Source organism: Homo sapiens, chromosome 12 (genome assembly GCF_000001405.40).
Source record: "Homo sapiens chromosome 12, GRCh38.p14 Primary Assembly".
In the NCBI taxonomy this organism is placed as follows: Eukaryota; Metazoa; Chordata; class Mammalia; order Primates; family Hominidae; genus Homo; species Homo sapiens.
The window spans coordinates 56861031-56888108 of NC_000012.12; the positions used below are offsets into that span (position 1 = coordinate 56861031).

The 27078-nt window shown below is 41.7% G+C and overlaps 1 non-coding gene and 1 pseudogene across 1 annotated transcript, besides 1 other annotated feature; both read left to right on the forward strand.

The window, feature by feature from the left end:
- Positions 1-344: 344 nt before the first annotated feature.
- On the forward strand, positions 345-478 carry LOC124900330 (small nucleolar RNA SNORA48). The gene has a single exon (XR_007063633.1). It is a non-coding gene; the product is annotated as a small nucleolar RNA SNORA48 (small nucleolar RNA).
- On the forward strand, positions 10576-11571 carry YWHAQP3 (YWHAQ pseudogene 3; annotated as a pseudogene).
- Positions 19735-20029: a silencer, noted in NCBI's record as "tiled region #4868; HepG2 Repressive non-DNase unmatched - State 23:Low". NCBI's record gives its function as "represses a minimal TATA promoter and a strong SV40 promoter by Sharpr-MPRA in HepG2 cells {active_cell/tissue: HepG2}" and the evidence as "EXISTENCE:reporter gene assay evidence [ECO:0000049][PMID:27701403]".

Consider the following 27078-nt stretch of genomic DNA (forward strand, 5'->3'; position numbering starts at 1 on the left):
TTACAAACCAACTTATGTTGTAGAATGTCCCTCAATTTGGCTTTATCTGATATTTCCTTGTGGCTAAATTCAGCAGGAATATCACACAAGTGAGCTGTATTCCTCTTATCAGATACTCTCAGGTGGTGTATAATTTCAATTTGTCCCGTTACTGACAATGCTCACTTTCCTCACTTGGTTCAGGTGGTATCTTCTAGGCTTCTTTACTATAATTTCCTTTGGTAATTAGTAAGTGTTTTGTAGGGAGGTAACTATGAAAATATGTAAATATTGTATTGCCCATTAACTAATTAATTAATATCAATGTATTAGTCAGCTTAGGGTTACCATAAAAAACCCATAGATGTTCCCGATCTGGTAGAGTAGCATCTGGTTGGTGGTGACCATCTAATACCAGCCAGGGACAAAGCAACCCCTTGTTTATCCCAGCTTGGCTTTTGGTCTGTTCCCATGCTTGGTTCATGCCTTGGACACATGGAAGAAGGAAAAAAAAATACCATAGAGTGGATGGCTTAAACAACAAAAATTAAGTTTCTCACAGTTCTGGTATCTGGAAAGTTCAAGATCAAAGTCCAGCCTGGTTTGGTTTCTGGTGAGGGCTCTCTTCCTTGCTTGTAGATGGCAGTCTTCTTGGTGTGTCCTCAGATGGCAGAGAGAGAGAGGTCTCTTTTTTTATAAAGCCCCTCCTTTATGACTTCATTTAACCTTAATTACTTCATAAAGGCCCTATTCCCAAATACATATCTACAAAGACATTGGGAGTTAGGCTTTCAACATATGACTTGTGGGAGAATACAATTCAGTCCATTAGTATGGACTCCAAGTTTTCTATCTTATTTGATTGGTTATTATCTATTGATTTCAATAATTATTTTGATGCTTCAATTATCACTTGTTTAGCTGGTGGGACCCATTTAAAACCAGCTTGGCTCACCTTGTATTTTCCCTGCATCAGCCCTGAAGTCAGCCATTTCTCCAAGCAGATTGTTTCCTTTCAATGGGGGAATGGTATTTAGAAGCCACGATCTTAGTACTAGGTGTTTGCATTGTTATTGAGATCTTGCTGCTCCCAGGCCCTCTCAGGGAGAAAGGGAACACACACACACACACACACACACACACACACACACACACACACACATATAAACACACAAAGATATTCAGGTTTAAGTATTGCTATGGTTTGAATGTATCCCCCCAAAAGTTTGTTAGAAACTTAATCCCCAGTGCAACAGTGTTGGGAGGTGGTGCCTAATAAGAGGTAATTAGGTCATGAGGGTGAAGCCCTACATGTATGGATTAAGGCCATTTTTGAAGGAGTGGGTTGGTTATTGTGGGAGTGGGTTTCTGAAAAAAAGATGAGTTTGGACGATCTTCTTTCTCTGCCTTGTGTGCTCATGTCCATCTTCCACTCACGTTATCATGCAGAAAGAAGACCTTAGCCAGATGACAGTGCCATGCTCTTGGACTTTCCAGCCTCCAGAATCATGAGCCAAATAACCTTCTATTATTTGTAAATTACCCAGTTTGTGGTATTCTGTTATAGCAGCAGAAAATAGACTAAGTCAAGTATCTATCTATCTATCTACCTAATCTACCTACCCCCTCTATGTACTGAAAACCTTGACTTCACATTGTGAACAAAAGTTCTCTGAAAATGAGTTTGGAAGAAAGAGACTTTATTCCAGAGAACAAATTGCAAACTGGAGAGATGGCAGCCTTCATTGTAAAATGAAGGTGCATTCCAAAGAACAAAGAGAGGACTCAGGTATTATAGCAAAAGTTTCTCTGCCCAGGTTCCCAGTCAAGTCTATTTATGCAAATGAAGTATGGAAAAACTTAGTTCTGATTGGTCAGTGCAGCTGAGTTCTGATTGGTCAATACCACTGAACCCTGATTGGTTCATACAACTAAACCCTGAGTGGGAGACAGGTGATCTCTGATTGGTTGATTTCCAAACCCCAACAGAAATTTCTGTCAGTTGTTTCTTTCAAACTACCTAGGGGGGATATTTCTGGATGCAGTTTATCCTGGCACTCACAAAAGGAACTGGTTTGGCTTGATCATAGAAAGGAAGTTCCTATGATAGTTTTTGTTGTTTTTTTGGGATGGAGTCTCACTCTTGTCACCCAGGCTGCAGGCTGGAGTGTAGTGGCACGATCTTGGCACTGCAACCTCTGCCTCCTTTGTTCAAGTGATTCTACTGCCTCACCCTCCTGAGTAGCTGGGATTACAGGTGGGCGCCACCACACCCAGCTAACTTTTGTATTTTTTTAAGTAGAGACGGGGTTTTATCATGTTGGCCAGGCTGGTTTTGAGCTCCTGACCTCAATTGATCCACCTACCTCGGCCTCCCAAAGTGTTGGGATTACAGGCATGAGCCACCGCACCCTGCGGATAGTTTTAAAACATCTTTCTGAGAACACAGAGTATAAGACTGTTCTTAATGTGGTTTGGATCTGTGTCCCCACCCAAATCTCACGTTGAATTTTAATCCTCAGTGTTGGAGGAAGGACCTGGTGGGAGGTGGTTGAATCACAGGGGCAGATTTCTCTCTTTTTGTTCTCATGATAGTGAGTGAGTTGAAACCGGGTAATGGGCAGAGGTTGGAACAATTTGGAGGGCTCAGAAGAAGACAGGAAAATGAAAGTTTGGAACTTCTGAAAGACTTGTTGAATGGTTGTGACCAAATGCTGGTAGTGTTATGGACAGTGAAGTCCAGGCTGAGGAGGTCTCAGATGGGGATGAAGAACTTAATGGAAATTGGAGCAAAGGTGACTTTTATTATACTTTAGCAAAGAGGTTAGAGGCATTGTGTCTCTGCTCTAGAGATCTGTGAAACTTTGAGCTTGGGAGTGATGATTGAGGCCATCTGGTGGAAGAAATTTCTATGCAACAAAGCATTCAAGATGTGGCCTGGCTGCTTCTAGCAGCCTATGCTTATATTCATGAGCAAAGAAATGACATAAAACTGGAACTGGAACTTATATTTAAAAGGGAAGCAGAGCATAAAAGTTTGGAAAATTTGCAGCCTGGCCATGTGGTAGAAAAGAAAACCCCATTTTCAGGGAAGGAATTCAAGTCAGCTACAGAAATTGGCTTAAGAGGAGCCAAATGTTAGTAACCAAGACAATTGGGAAAATGCCTTGAAACCATGACAGAGACCTTCAGAGCAGCCCCTCCCATCACAGGTCCAGAGGCCTAGAATGGAAAAATTGTTTCTTGGGCCAGGCCAAGGGCCCTGCTGCCCTGCACAACCTTGGAACAGTGCTCCCTGCACCCCAGCTGCTCCAGCTCCAGCTATGGTTAAAAGGGCTCCAGATATATCTCAGGCCACTGCTTCAGAGGGTGCAAGCCTTTAAGACTTGGCAGTTTCTTTGTGGTGCTAAGCCTGTGGGTGCGCAGAGGGAAAAAGTTGAGTCTTGGAAGCTTCCACCTAGATTTCAGAGAATTTATGGAAACACCTGGATGTCCAGGCAGAATTCTGATGCAGGGATGGAGCCCTCATGGAGAACCTCTACTAGGACAGTGTGGAGGGGAAATATGAGGTTGGAGCCCCCACATAGAGTTCCCACTGGGGTACTGCATAGTGGAGCTGTGAGAAGAGGGCCACTATCCTCCAGACACCAGAATCGTAGATCCATTGGCAGCTTGTACCATGTACCTGAAAAAGCTGCAGGCACTCAATGCCAGCCCTTGAGAGCAGCCATGGGAGCTGAGCCCTGCAAGCCAGAGGAGCAGTGCTGCCCAAGGCTTTGGGAGCCCACCCCTTGCATCAGTGTAGCCTACATGTGAGACATGGAGCCAAAGGAGATTATTTTGGGGCTTCAAGATTTAATGACTGCCCTACTGGATTTTGGACTTGCATGGGACCTGTAGCCCCTTTGTTTTGGTGATTTATCTCTTTTGGAATGGGTGTATTTATTCAATGTCTGTAGCCCCATTGTATCTTGGAAGTAACTAACTTGTCTTTGATTTTACAGGCTCACAGGTGGAAGGGACTTGCCTTGCCTCAGATGAGGCTTTGGACTGTGGACTCTTGAGTTAATGCTGAAATATGTTAAGATTTTGGGGGACTCTTGAGAAGTGATGATTGTATTTTGTAATGTGAGAAGAGCCTGAGATTTGGGAGGGGCCAAGTGCAGAATGATACAATTTGAATCTGTGTTCCTGCCCAATCTTACATAGAATTGTAATTCATAATGTTGGAGGAGGGGGCCTAATGAGAGGTGATTGGATCATGGGGGCAGATTTCCCCCTTGCTGTTCTCATGATAGTGAGTGAGTTCCCATGAGATCTGGTGGTTTAAAGGTGTATAGCACCTCCCCCTTCACTCTTTTCTTCCTGCTCCTGCATGTAAGATGTGCCTACTTGTCCTTTGCATTCTGCCATGATTGTAAGTTTCCTGAGGCCTTCTCAGCCATACTTCCTGTAACTTTGAGCACCTCAGTTAGCCATGGGGAATTCATTTAGTCTGTTGGCCAGGGGCATACTTTGACATTTCACTCCCTTTGGTTGAAACCTGCCATAGGCAGCATTGACTACCAGTGTTATGTCTTTGTCCCATATTATTGTTGAAGTGATGTGGCTACCTGCTCTGGGTCTGTCTAGTCCCTTGGTGGGACTTCTGTGACTAAGAGCTCATAGCCAATTTGAACAGCCTGGGCCAGGCAAGGTAGAAAGTCAGGTAAGCACCTGTTAATTGTCTAAGAGTGTTCCTTGTTGGAGTTTGGCAGAGGCATCAGGAAATTAGGAGAATTCAGGGTGTAGTCCAGTCTACAGGTAAATAACAAGGATCTGAAAACAATGTACAGATCTACAATATAGTAACAGTTATATAGTTTTTCTTTGGAAACATAAGTTTTTCTTTTTACACTGATTTTATAGGAATCTTAAATTTAAAACCTTTTGAGTTTAGGAAGCCAAATGAAGGCAAACTTTAGATTTCACTTACAATCTTAGTGTCCTTGGGCATGCCTGGAAGTAGCAATTTTGACTCACTTACGGTAAGCCTGGGAACTCTTGAAGCCAGGCATTTTATGTACATTCTTAAATATGACATTTCAGTCAAAACCTTGATATTATAACTGAGAATTCCACTTGTATCCTGCTTATAGAGAGCATGTAAATAAAATAAGAATACTCAAAAATAGTTTCTAAATTTTGGAGATCTCAAGTAGGGAGAAAAAGCAAATGCTTCCACTTTTGTTAACGAAAGGATATTTTACCAAATTATTACAAACTATAAAAAATTATGAAGTAAATTTCCTTGAATCTGAAAAACAAAACATGTAAGACCAAGAATGCTCTAAATAAAAGTCATAAAACATTATCCTTATCAATTACTTAATTTCATGTAATCAATTTTACCTTGCTTGACACTGATCAGCAGTTCCATGAAAAGCAATTTTGGACTATAGCTGATTGACAACACATATCACTATATCTCAGAATTTTATCACATGAAATTTTGAAACACATTTTAATAACACATTTACACATGCAACTTAAAGAAAGTTAAAAATAATTTTTATTTGACAATGCTTCCTAATAATATCTAAAAGATTTAATTTAGGGCTTTGATCCCAGGAAACCTTCCAAAGATGTCACAAGCTTTAAAGTTCAAAGTATCTGATTCAATAGAATCAAAGTTCGCTGCAAGATGATAGTTATTCATTTAACCAGACTGACAATCAAAAGATGTCAAAAACAATAGAAAAAGTTACATGAATGTAAAAACCTTAACCCTTTTAAAGCTCAGTTTTCCTAAGTAATAAAAAACCTAATAAAGATAACTTGAAGCACAGGAAATTATCTTGGTAAAACAGAATCTTTGTTTCCTAGGCCAATTGCCCACAAGGCAAAGAAAAGAAAATCTCTTGCAATGTGATTGCTTTTTCTTTTGGTAAGTTCATTTAGATAACCTGAAAGTTAAACCTGATGAAAAGTGAACTGGCAGAACCAGAAAAATGTTACAGGAGTCAACAAAAAGGTTGAAGGAGAATGTTATCATCCCAACCAAGCAAAAACCATATCTTTTTAGGATAGAAAGAAGTAGAGCTGTATTTCCAACCTGAAACTAGAGAAAGAAGTTAGATAGATTCCAGGGAGAAATGTGGCAGAAATAGAAACTGTTTGTAATTGAGAGGATGGCTGTCAAAGAAACACATTTCAGAATTAATCAAAACCTCCTATAATTTTACTAAGAGCAAATCAACATTCTAAAGAAACCTTGCTATTCTAACACACGGGACAAAATCTGCATCAGTGTGTTTTTCACATCAAAGTTCAATCCCTAGTAAGACCCATAAATAATTTCCCTCCAATTGTAGACAAAGTGATGACACAGAAAATTTCCTCTATAAATGCTATTTTTATAAACCTTATCATGACTTACTCAGACCATTTATGATATGCTTGGACATTCTGCTTTTTCTTACACTTTCTCTTTCTTAAATAACCAATCATTTTACTCTAGGAGAAAAATTTGCCATACAACATTCTTTCTTATACAAAATAATCCTCTTCCTTTTCAACCTTCCTTACCAAAAATACATCATATACTTCTCATATGCTTACATATGGAATGGTCTTTTTCATCTCTAGTAGTTTAATCACACACATTAGTTATAATGTCAACTCTTAGAAACCCTAATTTTCAAAGAAAACCCAGGAAGTTATCAATTTTTCTTTTGAGACAGAGTCTCACTCTATCACCCAGGCTGGAGTGCAGTGGCACAATTTCAGCTCACCTCAACCTCTGCCTCCTGGGTTCAAGCTATTCTCATGTCTCAGCCTCCCAAGTAGCTGGGACTACAGGCACACACCACCACACCTGGCTAATTCTTATATTTTTAGGACAGATGGGGTTTTGCTGTGTTGGCCAGGGTAGTCTCAAACTCCTGACCTCAGGTGATCCACCTGCTTTGGCCTCCCAAAGTGCTGGGATTACAGACATGAGCCACCACACCCAGCTAGAAGTTATCAACTCTTAACCACCAATCACATACCAAAAATCCATGATACACATTTTACAATTTCCAGAGACATAGGCTTTCTAACAAAACAACTCTTTAATATGAAACAGGACATTTCTACTAACAGATTCAAATAACTTTTGTTTTTCTTGGAAATAAGAAGCCAGCAGTATATGAGCCTATACTTACATTCAACAACAAATATCTCAGCATTATATTTTATCTGTAAATGACCTAGACATTCAATGAACATCCATCATTTAATTTAGCTTAACTAAACTCTTAGGGTATACTTACCAAAGAGATTTAAAAAACCTTCCCAAGTAAACATATTACAAAACATAAACCATTATCAAAAGTTAATTTACAAAATTTATCCTGTCCACATTCACCAAATCCATTCACTCTCAAAGAATTATGCCTAGAAAATTTCCAGAGACATCAAACAAATCTAGCCATTATCCCAAGCTGTTTCTGTCAACCAATTGTACATTACTGCCTTCCAGGCAAATATTATAAAAGCAAGAACTCTAAAGTTAAATACAAGCACATTTTGCTGATAACTCAGAAGATGCAGCAATTTCCATCAAAACAACAATTTTTTTAAAATTATTTAACAATTATTTAACAATATTAGTCTAGTCCCATCTGCCAAAAGATGACTAAATCACATTAACTTGAAAAGCATTTCAGATTATTTGCTTAATCTATGAGTATTCTTTTTTTTTTCTTAAGAGATGGGCTCTCACTGTCACCCAGGCTGGAGTGCAGTGGCCCAATCATAGCTGACTGCAGCCTCAAAGTCCTGGCCAACACAGCAAAACCCCATCTGTCCTAAAAATACAAGAATTAGCCAGGTGTGGTGGTGTGTGCCTGTAGTCCCAGCTACTTGGGAGGCTGAGACACGAGAATAGCTTGAACCCAGGAGGCAGAGGTTGAGGTGAGCCGAGTGATCCTCCCACCCCAGCCTCCTGAGGAGCTTGGATTACAGGCATAAGCCATTGCACCTGGTGAGTACTCATTTATTTATAAAACAATTTGGAATTATAGACAATATATGAATAGATATGTAAACATATATATACACAAAAATACAGACACAAATAAAGATCTTATAGCTTTTGTTTTAAAACTTAGCTATGAGTTAAGTAAAACTGATTAGTTTAAAAAAACAATTTGATTCCAACTGCATTTCTGTAAATGGAACAGGTTGAAATTTATCTGTTCCACATGGCTGAAGCCTTTACCGAGCTTTAAAGAAAACAAGGTAGGAAATTTATACCTCAAGCACAGAAAGAATTTAAGCTTTTTCAAGAAGTCTGGGTGTGTTAGAAGAGGATTAAAATGGATATCAATGTAACATACAATTGCAGGAATTTCTCACAGGATTTTACAAGAAAACACACAGACAAGTTCAGAAAAAATTTAGAAATGTTTCCAAAATAACCAGCTGAAAGAGTGAAAGAGGCAGGAGAAAGTGAAGGATAAAGGACAGGTGGCAAAAAGATTTTCTGAAAGAAAGACTGGAAGAAGACAAGAAGACAGGAAGAGTGGCAGAAAGGGGAATGAAGACAGGAAGAGTGGCAGAAAGGGGAGTCTAGTGGAAGAAGTTTCTTCCAGAGGGTTTTTTGCAGTTTTAGTTTCAGGCTTAAAGCTCTAATCTCTCTTTCTATTTCATTAAGGCATTCACTCAATTTGGAATTATTTTCTCTCTCTCTCTCTCTCTCTCTCTCTCTCTCTCTCTCTCTCTGTCTTTCTGAGACAAGGTCTCACTCTGTCACCCAGGCTGGAGTGCAGTGGTGCAATCTCAGCTCATTGCAGCCTCCGCCTCCCTGGTTCAAGTGATTCTCATGCTTCAGCCTCCCAAGTAGCTGGGACTACAGGTGTGCGCCACCACGCCCAGCTAAGTTTTGTGTTTTCAGTAGAGATGGGGTTTCACCATGTTGCCCGGGCTGGTCTCAAACTCCTGACCTCAAGTGATCCACCCACCTTGTCCTCCCAAAGTGCTGGGATTACAGGCATGAGCCATCACATCCAGCCTGGAATTATTTTCTCTTAAGGGAGGCAATGGTAGCCTTTTGATTCTGTTTAGAATTTTCTAAAGGACCAACCCAAATACCCATCAATGATAGACTGGATAAACAAAATGTGATACATATACACTATGGAATATTATGCAGCCATAAAAAGGAATGAGATCATGTCTTTGCAGGGACATGGATGAAGTTGGAAACCATCATCCTCAGCAAACTAACACAGGAATATAGAAAACCAAATACCATATATTCTCATTCATAAGTGAGAGTTGATCAATGAAAACACATGAACACAGGGAGGGGAACAACACACACTGGGGCCTGTTGGGGGGTGGGGGCAAGTGGAGAGAGAGCATCAGGACAAATAGCTAATACATGTGGGGCTTAAAACGTAAATGATGGGTTGATAAATGCAGCAAACCATCATGGCACATGTATACCTATATAACAAACGTGCATTTTCTGCACATGTATCCCAGAACTGAAAGTAAAATAAAATAAAATAACTTTCAAAAGGGCCAGTTGCAGTGCAGAGAGCCCCTAGTCCTGGGAAACAAGGTGTAGCCACCCCCTTGCCTGTCATGTAATGCACATTCCTGGGAAACCTGGTGCTAAACCATTTGTAGATAACTTGCTTCAAAAAAAAAAAAAAAAAAAGGCCAATTGGGAAAAAAAGACTCCCTGTCTGCAGCCATACCACCTTGAATGTGACAGATCTCATCTGAAAAAAAAACTTTCCATTATCTCTGGCAGTTTTGGTGTTTTCTATTCCAATTGTGCACACAGGAACATTTGAATTTCAAAAGAGCTCCATTTCTGCCAAAGAAGTTTAGGATTATCCTAGGTAATTTTTTCCAGAGACTTAGCCAATTGTAACTCCCTGGATTATAATTTTTGCTTATAAAGCCAGCTGGAGTGCTGAAAAGTGGCTGATCAGCAGAGAAAATTTAAAATACAAGCTACCCATTGCACTGACTTAACAAAGACATCCCTTCCCTTCCAGTGTCCTTAGCGTGAATGTCTCCACAAAACTTTTGCACTGACCTGACAAATGCATCCTTTCAAGTGCAGTAGAAGTCCATGCATCCTGGCAAAACTGAAGTGTAAGCATACCCCATGAAGTATGAATGTACCCTACAAAGTGCAAGCATATCCCGCAAATGGGTACCTTGTGGAGCCAGATGAACAGGCTTCCTGAAGAAAATTAAGTCTGTGAGACCTTAGCCAAAGCATGGGAATTCAAGAGGACTTACTGAAGGCCACCCCCCTACTCACCTCCCATCCTGAAGACAACTGAGGCCAAGAAGACAACTGAGTCCAAGGGGCTCTTGCAGGCCCTAATGTATTGGTTTAGGATGATGCAGGGAGGAGAGTTGTAGTTTGCTTCAAATCCCACTTCTGATGCCAAGAATGTGAATGAAAGTTCTCTGAAAAAGGGAGTGCCAGGGTGGTCCCATGGGCCTCCTCTGGCAGTGCTGGGCTTGAGGGCCTGAGCAAGGCACTGCCCTCACGGAGCGGCCAGGCTCTCCTTAGGGATGGCTTTGGGCGGAAGCTCTTGAGAACTCCTCTCAATCTGGCTTGGGGCTTGCCCTCACTCTCCTCATCTCCTGCCTCTGTCCCAGTCACAGCCCTGTGCCTGCCACGGAGAAGACGGAGCTGATCCTAGAAGGCCAAGCTGGCTGAGCTGGCCAGATGGTACGACTACATCACTACCTGGGTGAAGGCTGTGACAGAGCAGGGCACCAAGCTGTTCAATGAGGAGCTCAACCTGCTTTCAGTGGCCTACACATACATGGTCAGGGGATCACAGGTCTGCCTAGAGGGTCACCTTGAGCATTGAGCAGAAAACTGTTACCTCCGACAAGAAGTTGCAGCTGATTAAGGGCTATCAGGAGAAAGTAGAGTCTGAGCTGAGATCCATCTGTACCACAGTCCTGGAATTGCTGGATGAGTATTTAATAGCTGATGCAACTAATCCAGAGAGTAAGGTCTTCTAATTGAAAATGAAGGGAGATTACTTCCTGTACCTTGCCGAAGTTGCAAGTGGTGATGATTGAAAACAAGATAGATAATTCCCAAGGAGCTTACCAAGAAGTATTTGATATAAGCAAGAAAGAGAGTCAACTCACCCACCCAATCTACCTGGGGCTTGCTCTTAACTTTTCTGTATTTTACTGTGAGACCCTTAATAATGCAGAGCTCACCTGCATGCTGAATAAAACAGATACACTGCAGAACTTGATACACGGAATGAAGATTCATACAAAGACAGCACCCTTATCTGCTTAGAGACAACCTAACACTATGGATATCAGACAGTGCAAGGAAGAATGTGATGCAGTAGAAGGGGCTGAAAACTAAATGCATAAAGAGTGTCATCCTTCCTCCCTTCAAGAAACCTTTTTATGCATCTCCTTTCCTTATTCCACTTGAATTTCCTATAGCAAAGAAACCCATTCATGTGCTTGGAATTAACTGTTTATAGCTTTTTCACACTGCATCTTTGGGAAAATGCCATTCCCTGATTTGTGTTTGTCTTGGCCTTCCTGATGTGCAGTTACTGCTGTAGAAAAGCATTCATAGCTTAATTTCATATAAACTTAAGTACCTTCCAAATGCTTATGTAGAGGACTAAAAAATGTATCTGGTATTTAAGTAATCTGAACCAGTTTTGCAAATGACTGTGTTTTGTATTACTGTGGAGATATAAAAATGTAGTTAATTATAATTTAAAGAATGTTCTGCCAAGACCAGCTCAGTTGTGGAGACCCTAACCCAGAGGTGCTAGAGGAATTAAAGACACGCACACAGAAATATAGTGTGTGGAGTGGGAAATCAGGGGACTGACAGCCTTCAGAGCTGAGAGCCATGAACAGAGATTTACCCACATATTTATTGACAGCAAGCCAGTGATAAACATTGTTTCTATAGAATATAGATTAACTAAAAGTATTCCTTATGGGAAACAAAAGGGATGGGCTGAAACAAAGGGATGGGCTCTGGCAAGTTATCTGCAGCAGAAACATGTCCTTAAGGCACAGATTTCTCATGCTATTGTTTGTGGTTCAGGAATGCCTTTAAGCAGTTTTCTGCCCTGAGTGGGCCAGGTGTTCCTTGCCCTCATTCTGGTAAACCCACGGCCTTCAGCGTGGGCATTATGGCCATCACGAACATGTCACAGTGCTGCAGAGATTTTGTTTATGGCCAGTTTTGGGGCCAGTTTATGGCCAGATTTGGGGGCCTATCCCCAGCAGTGTTCGATGTAACGTCTTAATTTCTACATTCCCTCCCTTACTCTTTGGGGGTTTCTTCTCAATAATCAACTTTTCCATGCTCTTAATGTATTCTTTTTAGTAGAAATCCAGAAATATCAGATTGAATGGAAAAGCGCTTGCCATTTCTGGGTTGAGGTGTCACAAATTGAAATGTCTCCTATATCACATATTATGGAGGTCATGTGAATCTGTGGAAAGAGTAAATAAGAGTTTCCTTATTCACTCTTCATATGCTGCTGTTTAAGTTGGCAGCTTTCCTTCCCAATAAAAATTCATTTACACTTCCTGCCTTTATAGTTCTGGTATCTACTTTACTATGTAATAGAAGTAGCATGTTGCTGCCAGAATACTAGCATTTCTTTTGGCAAACTGAAGTACATGTCACTTCTTAACACACTAGAAAGGGGAAACAAAGCACACAAGTCCAAGTCTAAAACTTTAGTACATTTCTATGCAGATTTGTGTATATGTAAGGAGGTGTCCTGTTTGTCTAGTGATTGTTATTTAGTTGGACAACTATTGTGTGTTGCTCGTCATTGACTGAAGTCCCAAAAAAGTCTTGTGAAAATGTTATGCCCTATGTAACAGCAGAATAACATAAAATAAAATTACATTAAAAGTGATGGCAGAACCACAATTACTATTGCACCAACCTAATATAAACCATTTACTATGGCTTTGTAACAATTGCATATTCCTATATTAAGGGACAGGTGAATTTACTACTTTCTAAAGTTTATTGATAATTCCCTTTTGTGTAAAATGTGGTAGTGATACCTATATTTCTGCATCATGATATACTTGTCTAGGGATGCCTGGACATGTATAAGATTGGACTGCATTTCTTAGAATGTTTTACTATAGATCAGTCTCCTGGGCTATCTCTTCCTCAGACATAAATGATATCTGGTTAAGTGTTATGTGAAATAAAGTGAACATTTTAAAACTTTAAAAAAAGTTATCTGAAAAGGAATTTGGAGGAAAGTAACTTTATTCCAGTAAACAGTTTCCAAGCTGGGTCCAGCCTTCAGTGTAAAATGAAGGTGCATTCCAGAGAGCAGAGAGAGGTTTCGGTTTTATAGCAAAAGTTCCTTTCCAGGTTCTCAATCAGGTCTGTTCATGCAAATGAAAGATTGAAACTTCCTTAGTTCGGACTCACTGGGGCAGCTAAGCCCTGATTGGTTGATACAGCTGAGCCTTGATTGGCTGTGGCAGGTTATCTCTGATTGGTTTATTTCCAAGCCCCAAACCAGAAGTCTCTGTCAGGTGTTTCTTTAAAATGGCCGATGGGGGTGATTGCTGGCCCCTATTTGTCTTAATAGCAACAGGAACTGGTTTAGCTTGATTATAGGAATGGAGGTCCTATGATATTTTTACAACATCTTCTGAGAACAGAGAGTACATGACTTTTCCCAAATCCAGCCATGGCCACTTGGCTCTGTTTTAAATTTGAGCACCTCAGTTGCCCTGAGGAGTTTATCTTGTCTGTGGGCCAATGGTATGCTTTAACATGGATACCTTCAATGCCAATTCAAAATCTCAGGGTTCATTCCAGTTTTCTCCTGTGATATTGTGAAATATATATTTGACCTTCATCCCCATCTCCTGACATATAGCTCCTAAAATCCTTGGAATCTCTAGAGCGATAAGAGTGTCTTTTGTATGCTAATGAGATGACTGGTGGCTGGGGCCCTAGTTTCAGAGGGAGGCTGGTTGCCAGGGAAACCAACCATGTAGATTAGAGGGTTGGAAATTTCAGTCCATCCCCCCACCCCCTCAACCTCTGGGGAGCAGAGAGTGGCTGAAGGTTGAGTTGATAATCCAATGGCCAATGCTTTAATTAATTGTGTCTACATAATGAGGCTTCCATTAAAAACCCAAAGAACCCAAAAGGACTGAGTTCTGGAAGCGTCCAGATAACTGAATACATGGAGTTGCCTGGAGGGAGTTCTGGGGAGGGCATGGAAGCTTTGTTCCCTTCCTACTAGCCTCATTCCATGTGCCTCTCCCATCTGGCTGTTCATGTGTATCCTTTGTCATATCCTTAATAATAAATGGGTAAATTAAGTGTTTTCCTGAGTTCTGTGAGCCATCCTAGTAACAATCAAGCCTGAGGAGGGGAGAGTGGGAACCCCAGTTTATAGCTGATCTGTCAGAATTATATGTGACAACCTATTATAATTGGTATCAGCAGCTGGAATAATCTTATGGGACTGAGCCCTCAACCTATGGAATCTGACATTATTTCCAGGTAGGTAGTATTAGAATTGAATTGAATTAGAGGACACCCAGCTGTATCCTTTGGAGACTCTGCTGGAGAATTGGTTGTTGATGGTGTGAAAGGAAAATATCTTGGGTCCCCAAAATCACTAAAGGGAAGAGTCAAGCTGGGAACTGCTTAGGGCAAACCTGCCTCCCATTCTATTCAAAGTCATCCCTCTCCTCACTGAGGTAAATGCATATCTGATTGCTGCCTTTGGAGAGGCTAATCAGAAACTCCAAATAATTATACCATTTGTCTCTTATCTACCTATGACCTGGAAGTCCCCTCCCCACTTTGAGTTGTCCAGCCTTTCCAGGCCAAACCAATGTTCATCTTACGAGTGTTGATTGATGTCTCATATCTCCTTAAAAAGTATAAAGCCAAAGTGTGCTCTGACCACCTTGGGCACATGTCATCAGGACCTCCTGAGGCTGTGTCACAGGCACATGTCCTCAACTTTGGCAAAATAAACTTTCTAAATTAACTGAAACCTGTCTCACATTTTCAGGGTTCACTGTGGGGAAAAATCCTCACACATCACATCTGTGGCCACAGAAGTATTCTATGTTGATTAAGTAGTGAGAGAGAGTGGTTGTTTCCTCTGTATATTCTTACATTTATCTTTCCATATTTCTTAATCCCTTCCCAGTGAGCACTCTTATTTTCATTTCCTTAGTAGATTTACTTATTGTTCAAAACTCTTGCCATTGCCCTTTTTTTTTTTTTTTTTTTTTTTTAGATGGAGTGTTGCTCTGTCACCCAAGCTGGAGTGCAGTGGCGCAATCTCAGCTCACTGAAACCTCTGCCTCCCACGTTCAAACAATTCTTCTCCCAAGTAGCTGGGATTACAGGTGTCTGCCACCATGCCCGGCTAATTTTTGCATTATTAGTAGAGATGGGCTTTCCCAATGTTGGCCAGTCTGGTCTCAAACTCCCGACCTCAAGTGATCCACCTGCCTTGGCCTCCCAAAGCGCAGGAATTACAGGCACGAGCCACCATGCCTGGCCCACCATTGCCCCTCTTATGTACATATTTCCTTCATGCCCCACTTGGGCTCCAACACTTCATCCCAAGCAGCCTTCCTTCGTGGACTCCCTCTTCAACCTTCTTGTGCTCTGACACTTCCTTCTGGTCATTGTGGTTCCTATCATGCACTGCAACCTCCCTTCAACATGTGTGCTTACCTTGTTTTTGAATTGAACTACTCAGGAATGGACTGGTAGAGGAGAAGAAAAGATAATCTTGCTTTTTAGAAGTTTTTTTTTTATCACTAACTTAAAAATCACAATATTTTAAACTTATCTTTAAAATTGGAATATTACAGATAAAACCAAAGGGTCTTTTGATCATTATCCCTAATTCTGCTCTGCTTACTGTTTCTCAGGAAGTAACTCGCTGTTACTAGTTTGATGTGTATCCTTCTAACCTTTAAAAATATAATTTTATATTTATATGTATGTTCCCAAGGAAAAGATATACATATTAATCTTTTAAATTTTATTCTCCAGTTTAGGAAAAGCCATCGAGGCTAGAACATTTAGAATATGATGCAAAGTCTCTTCCTTGAACAAGGCTTACTTGGAGCATGAGTCAGGATTATTTTGGTTGCTGGTGACAGAAATCCAACTGAAAGTGGCTTAGACAAAAAGAGACTGTATTGGCTAATATAATTGGGAAGTTCAAGGTACAGGAACACCAGGAAAACAGCAAGGACACAAACCACATACTAGTGTGCATCTAGGTCAGCAGTCAGTGCAGCTCCACTTAGAGCAGTGGGAGTGAAAATAGCAGAAGTAGCAAGATATCCACCTCCTGACATTATGTAATACATGAAAGTAGAATGAGATAAACATCTGTCAAGGAGAAATTTTTGTAAATTCTAGCTAGTATCCCACACATCAAGTTTGCTGAATTGCACATTGTGCAATTCTAGGTGGCAATTCAAAGGACAAATCCCAGCTTTGTCCTGGGACGTTTTAATACAGCCAGGATGAAGAACAGTGGATGAAACTCTAAAGGTTCAACATCTTAGTATGCAGTATTGTGTTCAAAGAGAAAACATTTACAGAAGAAACTACCCAGATAGATTCAGGGCCTTAAACTGTGTCATTAGTACACTGCCTCTCTCCATCTCATGGTTCCATTCTCATTGTGTTGATGTCATTCTCAGTCAAGCTGTCTCCTTGACATGGTCAGGATGGCCAGTAGTCAAGCCTACATTCTATCAGCATTGCAAGTTTCATAATAATTTTAGCACAAACCCCAGGATTGACTCTCATTGGCCTGGCTTGGGTCATAATGTTGCAGGAATTAGTAGGACAAGAGAGACCTTGGGGTGTATACAGGAAGATCTTTATTGAGTACACTCAGACCCAGCAGACTTATCCAAAAACTGAGCCTAGAACAAAGACAGCACTTAATTTTTATACACACTTCAAAAAGGGGGCATGCTAGCTTGAAGCAGGCTTACCATGGTGCAAAAGCAAGGATACAGAGGCAGAACAAAGACAGTTAATCAAATTGTGACAGGCTCATAACTCAGGATTACACAAGACCATTGCTATGCAGCCCAGATGTTTGTTATCTGGGTTTGCCCTAGTGCCTAGCATTCCATGACCTTCACTATGGCACCCAGATGGCTGTATCTCACCCCTGCTCAGATGGTTTAGGGTGTTCACTATACCACTTAGATAAAACAGAATACTTGAATTTACTAGTTACAGAGAACAGGAATCTATAAACTCATACCATAAGAGAAAGGAAAATTTGTTTTTCTCCTCCCTATGTTGAGGGAGTGCTGGGAGAGTCTTCAGGGCACATTAGATAGTATTATCAAGACTTTTCCTGGGTCTGGGCTGTGCCTGTTTCTGCCTCTGGGACAAGTCAGCCTAATACAGGAAAGCTTATTTCTCTTTTTAATTTTATTTCTCTTTCTTTCTTTAATTTCCCACCTCAATAACTCATTCATGAACCAATCACTGTGCATGGAGGGTAGAAATTAATACCCATTTTCTCCTTTTTATAGTAGCAAAAGGAATTTTCAGTGTTGGGAAAGAAATAATTTTTGCCCTCTCCCTCTCCCTCTCCCTCTTCCTCTCCTTCTCCCTCTCCCTCTCCCTCTCCCTCTTCCTCTCCTTCTCCCTCTCCCTCTCCCTCTCCCTCTCCCTCATCCCCGTCTCCTGCTTTCCACGGTCTCCCTCTGTTGCTGAGGCTGGACTGTACTGCCACAATCTCGGCTCACTGCAACCTCCCTGCCTGATTCTCCTGTCTCAGCCTGCCGAGTGCCTGTGATTCCAGGCGCGCGCCGCCATGCCTGACTGGTTTTTGTATTTTTTGGTGGAGAGGGGGTTTCGCCGTGTTGGCCGGGCTGGTCTCCAGCTCCTGACCTCGAGTGATCTGCCCACCTCAGCCTCCCGAGGTGCAGGGATTGCAGACGGAGTCTTGCTCACTCAGTGCTCAATGTTGCCCAGGCTGGAGTGCAGTGGCGTGATCTCAGCTCGCTGCAACCTCCACCTCCCAGCTGCCTGCCTTGGCCTCCCAAAGTGCTGAGATTGCAGCCTCTGCCCAGCTGCCACCCCGTCTAGGAAGTGAGGAGCATCTCTGCCTGGCCACCCATTGTCTGGGATGTGAGGAGCCCCTCTGCCCGGCTGCCCAGTCTGGGAAGTGAGGAGCGCCTCTTCCCGGCCATCATCCCGTCTAGGAAGTGAGGAGGGTCTCTGCCTGGCCGCCCATCGTCTGGGATGTGGGGAGCGCCTCTGCCCGGCCGCCCCGTCTGGGAGGTGAGGAGCATCTCTACCCAGCCACCACCCTGTCTGGGAGGTGAGGAGCGCCTCTGCCCGGCTGCGACCCTGTCTGGGAACTCAGGAGTGCCTCTGCCCGGCCACCCCATCTGAGAAATGAAGAGCCCCTCCACCCAGCAGCCGCCCCATCTGGGAAGTGAGGAGCATCTCCGCCCGGCCGCCCCATCTGGGAGGTGGGGGGCACCGCGGTCCGGCAGCTGCCCCGTCTGGGAGGTTGGGGGGGCGCCCCCGCCCCACAGCCACCCCGTCTGGGAGGTGGGAGGCCCCTCTGCCTGGCTGCCACATCTGGGAAGTGAGGAGCCCCTCTGCCCAGCCGCCACCCCATCTGGGAGGTGTACCCAACAGCTCATTGAGAATGGGCCATGATAACGATGGCAGTTTTGTTGAATAGAAAAGGGGGAAATGTGGGGAAAAGAAAGAGAGATCAGATTGTTACTGTGTCTGTGTAGAAAGAAGTAGACATAGGAGACTCCATTTTGTTCTGTACTAAGAACAGTTCTTCTGCCTTGGGATGCTGTTAATCTATAACCTTACCCCCAACCCTGTGCTCTCTGAAGCATGTGCTGTGTCAACTCAGGGTTAAATGGATTAAGGGCCGTGCAAGATATGCTTTGTTAAACAGATGCTTGAAGGCAGCATGCTCGTTAAGAGTCATCACCACTCCCTAATCTCAAGTACCCAGGGACACAAACACTGCAGAAGGCTGCAGGGTCCTCTGCCTAGGAAAACCAGAGACCTTTGTTCACATGTTTATCTGCTGACCTTCTCTCCACTATTGTCCTATGACCCTGCCAAATCCCCCTCTCCGAGAAACACCCAAGAATGATCAATAAATACTAAAAAAATAAAAAAAAAATAGTTTTCTAGCCTCTCTTCCATCTGGATGTGGACTTATGACTAAAATCTGGCTAATGATATGCTGGCAAAAAATTTGTTCAGCTTACAACTCACAGCCCTAAAAGAAAGGAGTATGTGCTCCTTGTTCCTATTTTTCCTTTTCTCTTGGTTGGAATTAAAACTTGGTAATGAGCCATATTGGAACATGTGAATAAGAACAACACCTAAAGATGGTAAAGCAAGGTATAAGGAGTCAGGGCTTTAGACACTGGGAAGCTACCATGCCACCTTGGCCTGCTTCTGCTCAAACTGCTGCTGCAAGAGAGAAATAACCATTATGACTAAACTAAAAGGAATCAGCTAAAATAATCCAAAGTGGTATCCTCTGTGGAGTGGGAAATAGAAGGAAATAGGAGGGAAGCTCCTGTGGGTTTTCATAACAGCCCTTGTAACTATTTGGTTGTCTGTGTGCCCATATACTGTTTGTAAAAATAAAAACCACAATTTGAAAAGGAATGAGATAGAGAGAAGGATTCTCTTCTTTCTCTAAGTAGTCTTCTGTTGCAAACACCTAAGGTTGTGGTTTAGGGGAAATATCAAAAGTATAAAGAAGAAAATAAAAACCACAGGCATCTGACTACCCAAAGATAATTGCTGTTAAGTGTTCAGCTAAGACTCAGTATATTTCCTCCCAGTCAAATATTTAACCCAGCACATTTCTGTTGCATCTCAAGATTCAATTGAATGGAATAAACACAAGCTGGTCACTGAGTGCAAATAACATAAGAGATAAGACACAGTTCTTGTCCTTTAATTCTGTTGTGGGTTAGACTTACACTGTTAGAAGCAAAAGCAACATGGGGCTTTGATTGCTTCAAGAAATCACCTGCCTAATTTCCTTCTTATTAACAAATAAACACTGTACTTACTGAGTTTAATCCTTGCAGCACCAGAAGTTCTAAAAAGAGAAGAAACTTTGCAAGGCCAGTAATATGCCTTCAAAATTATAGGCATTCCAGGCTAGACAGGAATTTACTAAATTTAATTATTATTGTATACCTACTACAAGAGCTCACAGGCCTTCACTTTGGCTGACCTGACTGAGAGTGACATTGTTATCCTTGGTGTAGCTTCAATGTAAAGCCTGGGGCACTACAGTTGCCTGATGACCCCAAGTGGTTAATTTCTTTTGGCTTTATTATCCCAATAAGAAAAATTAAATTCTGTATACCTTAAGCCCAGTTCAGATCATGAAAACTATAATTCCTTTTCTTATACCAATCTGATGAAGAAAAAAATTTAAACAAGACAAACAGGTGAAAAAATGCTTTGCATCAGAGCTGTTTGTTGAGCTGCAGGGTCTTGAATCCACTTGCTCTGCAGTTACAATTCTGTGTGGAGGTGGGAGACATCAGTGTCACACGGTGGTTCAGCACATGTCACTGGAGCCTGACTGCCCAGGTTAGAACCTCAGCTTTCATCTCACTTGGTTCCTTATCCGTAGAATTGACATGTTAAAAATAGCAAATGATTGTTACAGAAGATTAAATGAGTTAGTATTTACAATGCACTTATTCCAGTGACTGGCATTTAATATGGGCTATGTAAACATTTCTTGAATAATAAAAATAAATCCTGTCTGAATGAATTCAAATAAAAGGCTTGGCCATTGCTATTCATAAAAAATTATAGACTTAAGAATTAGCTGACAAATCTTAATTTATTTATTTGTATTTTTTTAGACAAGGCCTCTTGCTCTGTCACCCAGGCTGGAGTTCAGTGGTGCTATCATGGCTCATTGCAGCCTCCATCTCTTGGGCTCAAGGGATTCTCCTGCTTCAGCCTCCTAAGTAGCTGGGACTACAAGTGTGTGCCACCACATCTATTGGGGGAACCAGCCCCCAATATTTCAATGTAGGTTCTTTTCTATTTTCCCTAAGTGTCAGCCAGTCTGACAAATAAAGAGTGCAAAGAGAGAAATTTTACAGCTGGGCCTCCTCGGGTGCCATCACATATTGGTAGGACCATGATGGTGACCTCAAGCCACAAAACCAGCAAGTTTTTATTAGGGATTTTAGAAGGAGAAGGAGTGTATGAATAGGGAGTGGGTCACAGAGATCACATGCTTCAAAAGGCAATAAAAGATCACAAGGCAAATGGCAGAGCAGGATCACAAGGCAAGAGCGAAATTAGAATTACTGATGAGTATCCATGTCCTGCTGAGCATGCATTGTCTTGATAAACATTTTAACAGGAAACAGGGTTCAAGAGCAGACAACTGGTCTGACTAGAATTCACCATCCTGGAATTTCCCAATCCTAGCAAGCCTGAGGGCACTGCAGGAGACCAGGGCATATTTCATCCCTTATCTTCAACTGCATAAGACGGACACTCCCAGAGCGGCCATTTATAGACCTCCACCTGGGAATGCATTCCTTCCCCAAGGTTATTCCTTGCTGGGAAAAGAATTCAGCAATATTTTTCCTATTCACTTTCTGCAAGAAGAGAAATATGTCTCTGTTCTTCCCGGCCCTGCAGGCAGTCAGACCTTATGGTTATCTCCCTTGTTCCCTGAAAAGTGCTGTTATCCTGTTCTTTTTCAGGGTGCCCAGATTTCATATTGTTCAAACACACATGTTTTACAAACAATTTGTACAGTTAACGCAATCATCACAGGGTCCTGAGGTGACATACATCCTCAGCTTATGAAGATGACAGGATTAAGAGATTAAAGACAGGCATAGGAAATTATAAGAGTATTGACTGTGGAAGTGATAAATGTCCATGAAATCTTCACAATTTATGTTCAGAGATTGCAGTAAAGACAGGTGTAAGAAATTATAAAAGTATTAATTTTGGGAACTAATAAATGTCCATTAAATCTTCACAACTTATGTTCTGCCACAGCTTCAGCCGGTCCCTCTGTTTGGGGTCCCTGACTTCCTGCAACACACATCCAGCTAAGTTTTTATTATTTGTAGAGGTTAAGTTTCACTATGTTGCTCAGGCTGGTCCCAAACTCCTGGGCTCAAGTGATCCTCCTACCTCAGTGTCCCAAAGTGCTTGGATTACAGGCATGAGCCACTGCATTTGGCCCCTTACATTCTTTATGTCAGCTCCTTAACAAGCTGGTTGGTTTTCTCTTTCTCATGTAATTCATGAAAAATAAGATATCCCACAATTATTATTAGACAATAGATATTCTATCACCTAGTAATAATATAATAGTAAACACGTCTCACTTTCTATATATCAGATGCAGTTTTAATTATGTGCCTCATCTCATTTAATCTTTACAATAACCCATTTTACAGTTAAGGAAACTAAGGCATGCAGAAATTAATTTACTTGCCCAAGGTTACGCAGTTTGTATGTGATAGATCCTGGGATCAGTCCTAGGCAAGCTGGCTCCAGAGTCCATGTGCTTCCCCACCCATGACACTGGGCTGCCCCCAAAGAGCATGCCATGTCAGGAATAACACACAACTTTGACTGCTACTGATCCTTATGTCTCTGCTCTAGCTATAGCCCTGTTATTCACCAAGCCTCATCAAGGCTCATTACTTCCCATATGATAGAAAACAATTGCCAACTTCTTTCATATTTGAACTTTTCTTTCCACTTCCATCAAAATTTGTTTTATCCCATAGAAAAAACAGAATCTGCTGATTCTGAATTCTATATCCACCATATCCACAGTCAAAGTTTGCCTGAAGAAAACTCAGCTAATGGTCAGAAGGTCAACTGGCCAATTTAGACCCCATCCAGGGAGCTCTACTTGGAGAAAGAGCTCACAGGCAATGTCTGTATTTTAGCTTTGCAGGTCCTCACATTCAATTCCAACCATTACCCCAGGAGATCAAGCTCTGAAAGGAAGTTGATTTACAAACCCAGAACCCAATTTACAAGAGAAGCTACTGCTAGGTGGAAAACCTACGTAGGGCATAATCATGGGCCACTAACTTATTCTGAGTGAGATCAAGGACACTGAGAGCACCTATTAGAGATCAGAAGGTTGTTTCATGAGGCCAGGTTTACAGCCAAAGAAATCTGATGTTTTTAAAGAATATTTCTATCAAGTTCCTGGAATGAACTGCCTCTCTTCACTCTAGTAGTATGGGGTCCTGAGAGCCAGCAGCAGCTGTTGAGGCCAGAACAGCCTCTCTCTTGCACAGGGCAGCAGGCCACCAGGCATGGTCCTTCTCTTTGGCTACCTTCTCCTAGGATCCAGGAAACCCATCACCCCTGGTAGACCCTCTTCTACTCTCACTTGCTGCAGTGTATGGAGTACATGCATGGAATGTGCACACATTATATTCCAGGCCTGCTTTCTTGGAGACATGCCTCGCCCTGATGAAATTCTGAAGTGTCCCATGACACCTTAGTGAGACATTTGCAAATCATCTCTTGGGTAAAGGTTCTTCTAAGATGACTCATCTTGCATTTGAGTGACATTATTTCTAAAATTATTCCAAATTCTGAGCTCATCTCCTGACTTACAGCCAGTAGCTACATTATGCATCAACTAGGGATTTAACATTATAAGTGAAGTGATAATATATGATTGTGGTGGTTTGCACAAGAGGGGAGAGAGTAAGAAGGAAAGGAAGGAGTTAAACCAGTTAAACCTAGTTAAGTGCCAGTGATTATTTATTCAAGTAAATTTAATACTTTGTACTTATCTTGCTTTACTTGTCTTGGCCAGAAAAATATTTAAAAACCCTCTTGTCACTAGAATGACCTTAGAATTACGACCCTAGACTCAGACATAGACTTGACAGAATACAAAAAGATGACATTTGAATATCAGTAAGAATTGTCTCATTACAGATAGAAAGAATAGGAAAATAATTCAGCTTAGAATATAACTGGAAAGGATCCATTGGATCCAGTCAGTTGGTGAAGCAACCTGAATGAGAGTTGCAGGCTTACATCATGATATGGTTTGGATTTTTGTCTCTGCCCAAATCTCATGTTGAATTGTAATCCCCAATGTTGAAGGAGGGGCCTGGTGAGAGATGATTGGATCATAAGGGTAGATTTCCACCTTGCTATTCTTGTGACAGTAAGTTCTCATGAGATCTAGTTGTTTAAAAATGTGTAGCACCTATCCCTTTTCCCTATCCTTCCTTCTCCAGCCATGTAAGATGTGCCTGCTTCCCCTCTCATGATTATAAGTTTCCTGAGATCTCCTCAGCCATGCTTCCTATACAGCCTGCAGAACTGTGAGTGAACTAAACCTCTTTTCTTGATAAATTATCCATTCTCAGGTAGTTCTTTATAGCAATGTGAGAATGGACTAATATGGAAATTGGTACCAGGAGTAGGGCATTGCTATAAATATACCTGAAGTAGGGCATTGTTATAAATATACCCGAAAATGTGAAAGAAACTTTGGAACTAGGTAATGAGCAGAGGTTGTACACTTTGGAGGGCTCAGAAGAAGACAGGAAGATGAGGGAAAGTTTGGAACTTCCTAAAGACTTGTTAAATGGTTGTGGCCAAAATGCTGATAGTGATATGAACAATGAATTCCAGGCTGAGGAGGTCTCAGATGGACATTAGGAACTTATTGGGAACTGGAGTAAAGGTCACTCTTGCTATGCTTTAGGAAAGAGACTGGCAGCCTTGTGCCCCTGATCTAAGGATCTGTGGAAATTTGAACTTGACAGTAATAATTTAGGGTAGCTGGCAGAAGAAATTTCTAAGTAGCAAAGCATTTGAGATTTGGCCTAGCTGCTTCTAACAGTGTATGGTCCTCCATGTGTGCAAAGAGATGATCTGAAACTGGAACTTATATTTAAAAGGGGAGCAGAATATAAATGTTTAGAAAATTTTCAGTCTGACCATGTGGTAGAAAATAAAAACCTATTTTCTGGGGGAGGAATTCAAGTTGGCTGTAGATATTTTCATAAATAAAGAGGAACCAAATGTTAATAGCCAAGACAATGGGGAAAATGTATCAGAAGGCATCAGAGACTTTTGTGGCAGCACCTTCCATCAGATGCCTGGAGATCTAGGATGGAAGAATGGCTTTGTGGACTGGACCCAGGGCCCTGATGTCCTGCACAACCTTGGGACACTGCTCCCTGCATCCCAGCCACGTCAGCTTCAGCCATGGCTAAAAGGGCCCCAGATAAGTCTCAGGCTGCTGCTCCAGAGGGTGCAAGCCATTAAGCCTTGGCAGCTCCTATGTGGTGTTAAGCCTGCAGGTGTGCAGAGGGCAAAAGTTGAGGCTTGGGATCCTCTGTCTAGATTTCAGAGGATGTATGGAAACACCTGGATGATCAGGCAGAAGTCTGATGCAGGGGTGGAGCCCTCATGGAGAACTTTTACTAGGGCAGTGCAGAAGGGAAATATGGGGTTGGAACTCTCACACAGAGTCCCCACTGGGGCACTGCGTAGTGGAGCTGTGAGAAGACGGTCACCATCCTCCAGACCCTAGAATGATAGATACACTGACAACTTGTACTGTGCACCTGGAAAAGCTGTAGGCACTCAACACCAGCCCATGAAATCAGTTGAGGGAGATGTACCCTGTAGAGCCACAGAGGTGGCACTGCCCAAGGCCTTGGGAGCCCACCCTTTGCATCAATGTAGCCTACATGTGAGACATGGAGTCAAAGGAGATTATTTTGGAGCTTTAACATTTAATGACTGCCCTTCTGGGTTTTGGACTTGCATGGGGCCTGTAGTCCCTTTGTTTTGGCTGATTTTTCCCTTTTGGAATGAGTGTACTTACCCAATGCCTGTAGCCCCATTATATCTTGGAAGTGACTAACTTGTTTTTTATTTTACAGGGTCATAGGTGGAAGGGACTTGCCTGGTCTCATATGAGACTTTTGGTTGTGAACTTTTGAGTTAATGCTGAAACGAGTTAAGACTTTGGTGGGCTGTTGAGAAGAGATGATTGCATTTTGCAATGTGAGAAAGACACGAGATTTGGGAGTGGCCAAGGGCCGAATGATATGGTTTGTATCTGTGTCCCTGCCCAAATCTCATGTCCAATTGTAATACATAATATTGGTGGAGGGGCCTGGTGGGAGGTGATTGGATAATGGGAACAGATTTCACCCTTGCTGTTCTCATGATAGTGAGTGAGTTCTCATGAGATCTGTTTAAAAGTGTGTAGCACCTCCCCCTTCATCCTCTTCCTCCTTCTCTGGCCATGTAAGATGTGCCTGTTTCCCCTTCACCTTCTGCTGTGATTGTAAGTTTTCTGAGACCTCCCTGGACCATGCTTCTTGTACAGTCTGCAGAACTCTGAGTCAATTAAACCTCTTTTCTTTATAAATAACCCAGTCTCAGGTAGTTCTTTATAGCAACATGAGAATGGACTAATACAGACTGGATGTGCGAATTAGGGGCACCCACTATAAGGCGGGGGTAGTGGGTTGTGTGAGGCATCCCCATGCAGCATAGGGGCATTTAAAAGGGCTTCTAATAAATGTTCCCCATCATTGTGAGAAAATTCTTGCTATATGTCTACAGCTATAAATATTCTTATCCCAATCAAAATCTCAGGTTTATATCCAAGTTCAGCCACTTTAAAAGGCAATGTCAAATTATTTGGAATGAAATAATTTTCTCTTTATTGGGTAAATGTCTGAGGAGATTTATAATAGAGTATAGAAATGGTAATGTATAGAGACAGTCAAGTAAACCAAACCCTGAATTATTATTTTGAATTAAATTTGGAAATGATTTATACAGTATTTTAAGTATTTAAAAATAAAAGAGAATGTGGCATATTATGAACAATTTCACATAATAGATTATCAAACACATTTGCTTTCTAATTCCAATTTTTAAATGTATAATGAGTATTCAATTAGATTTGTGATTTTAAGATAAAAGAAAATTGTGCTATATTATAAATCATATTAGAA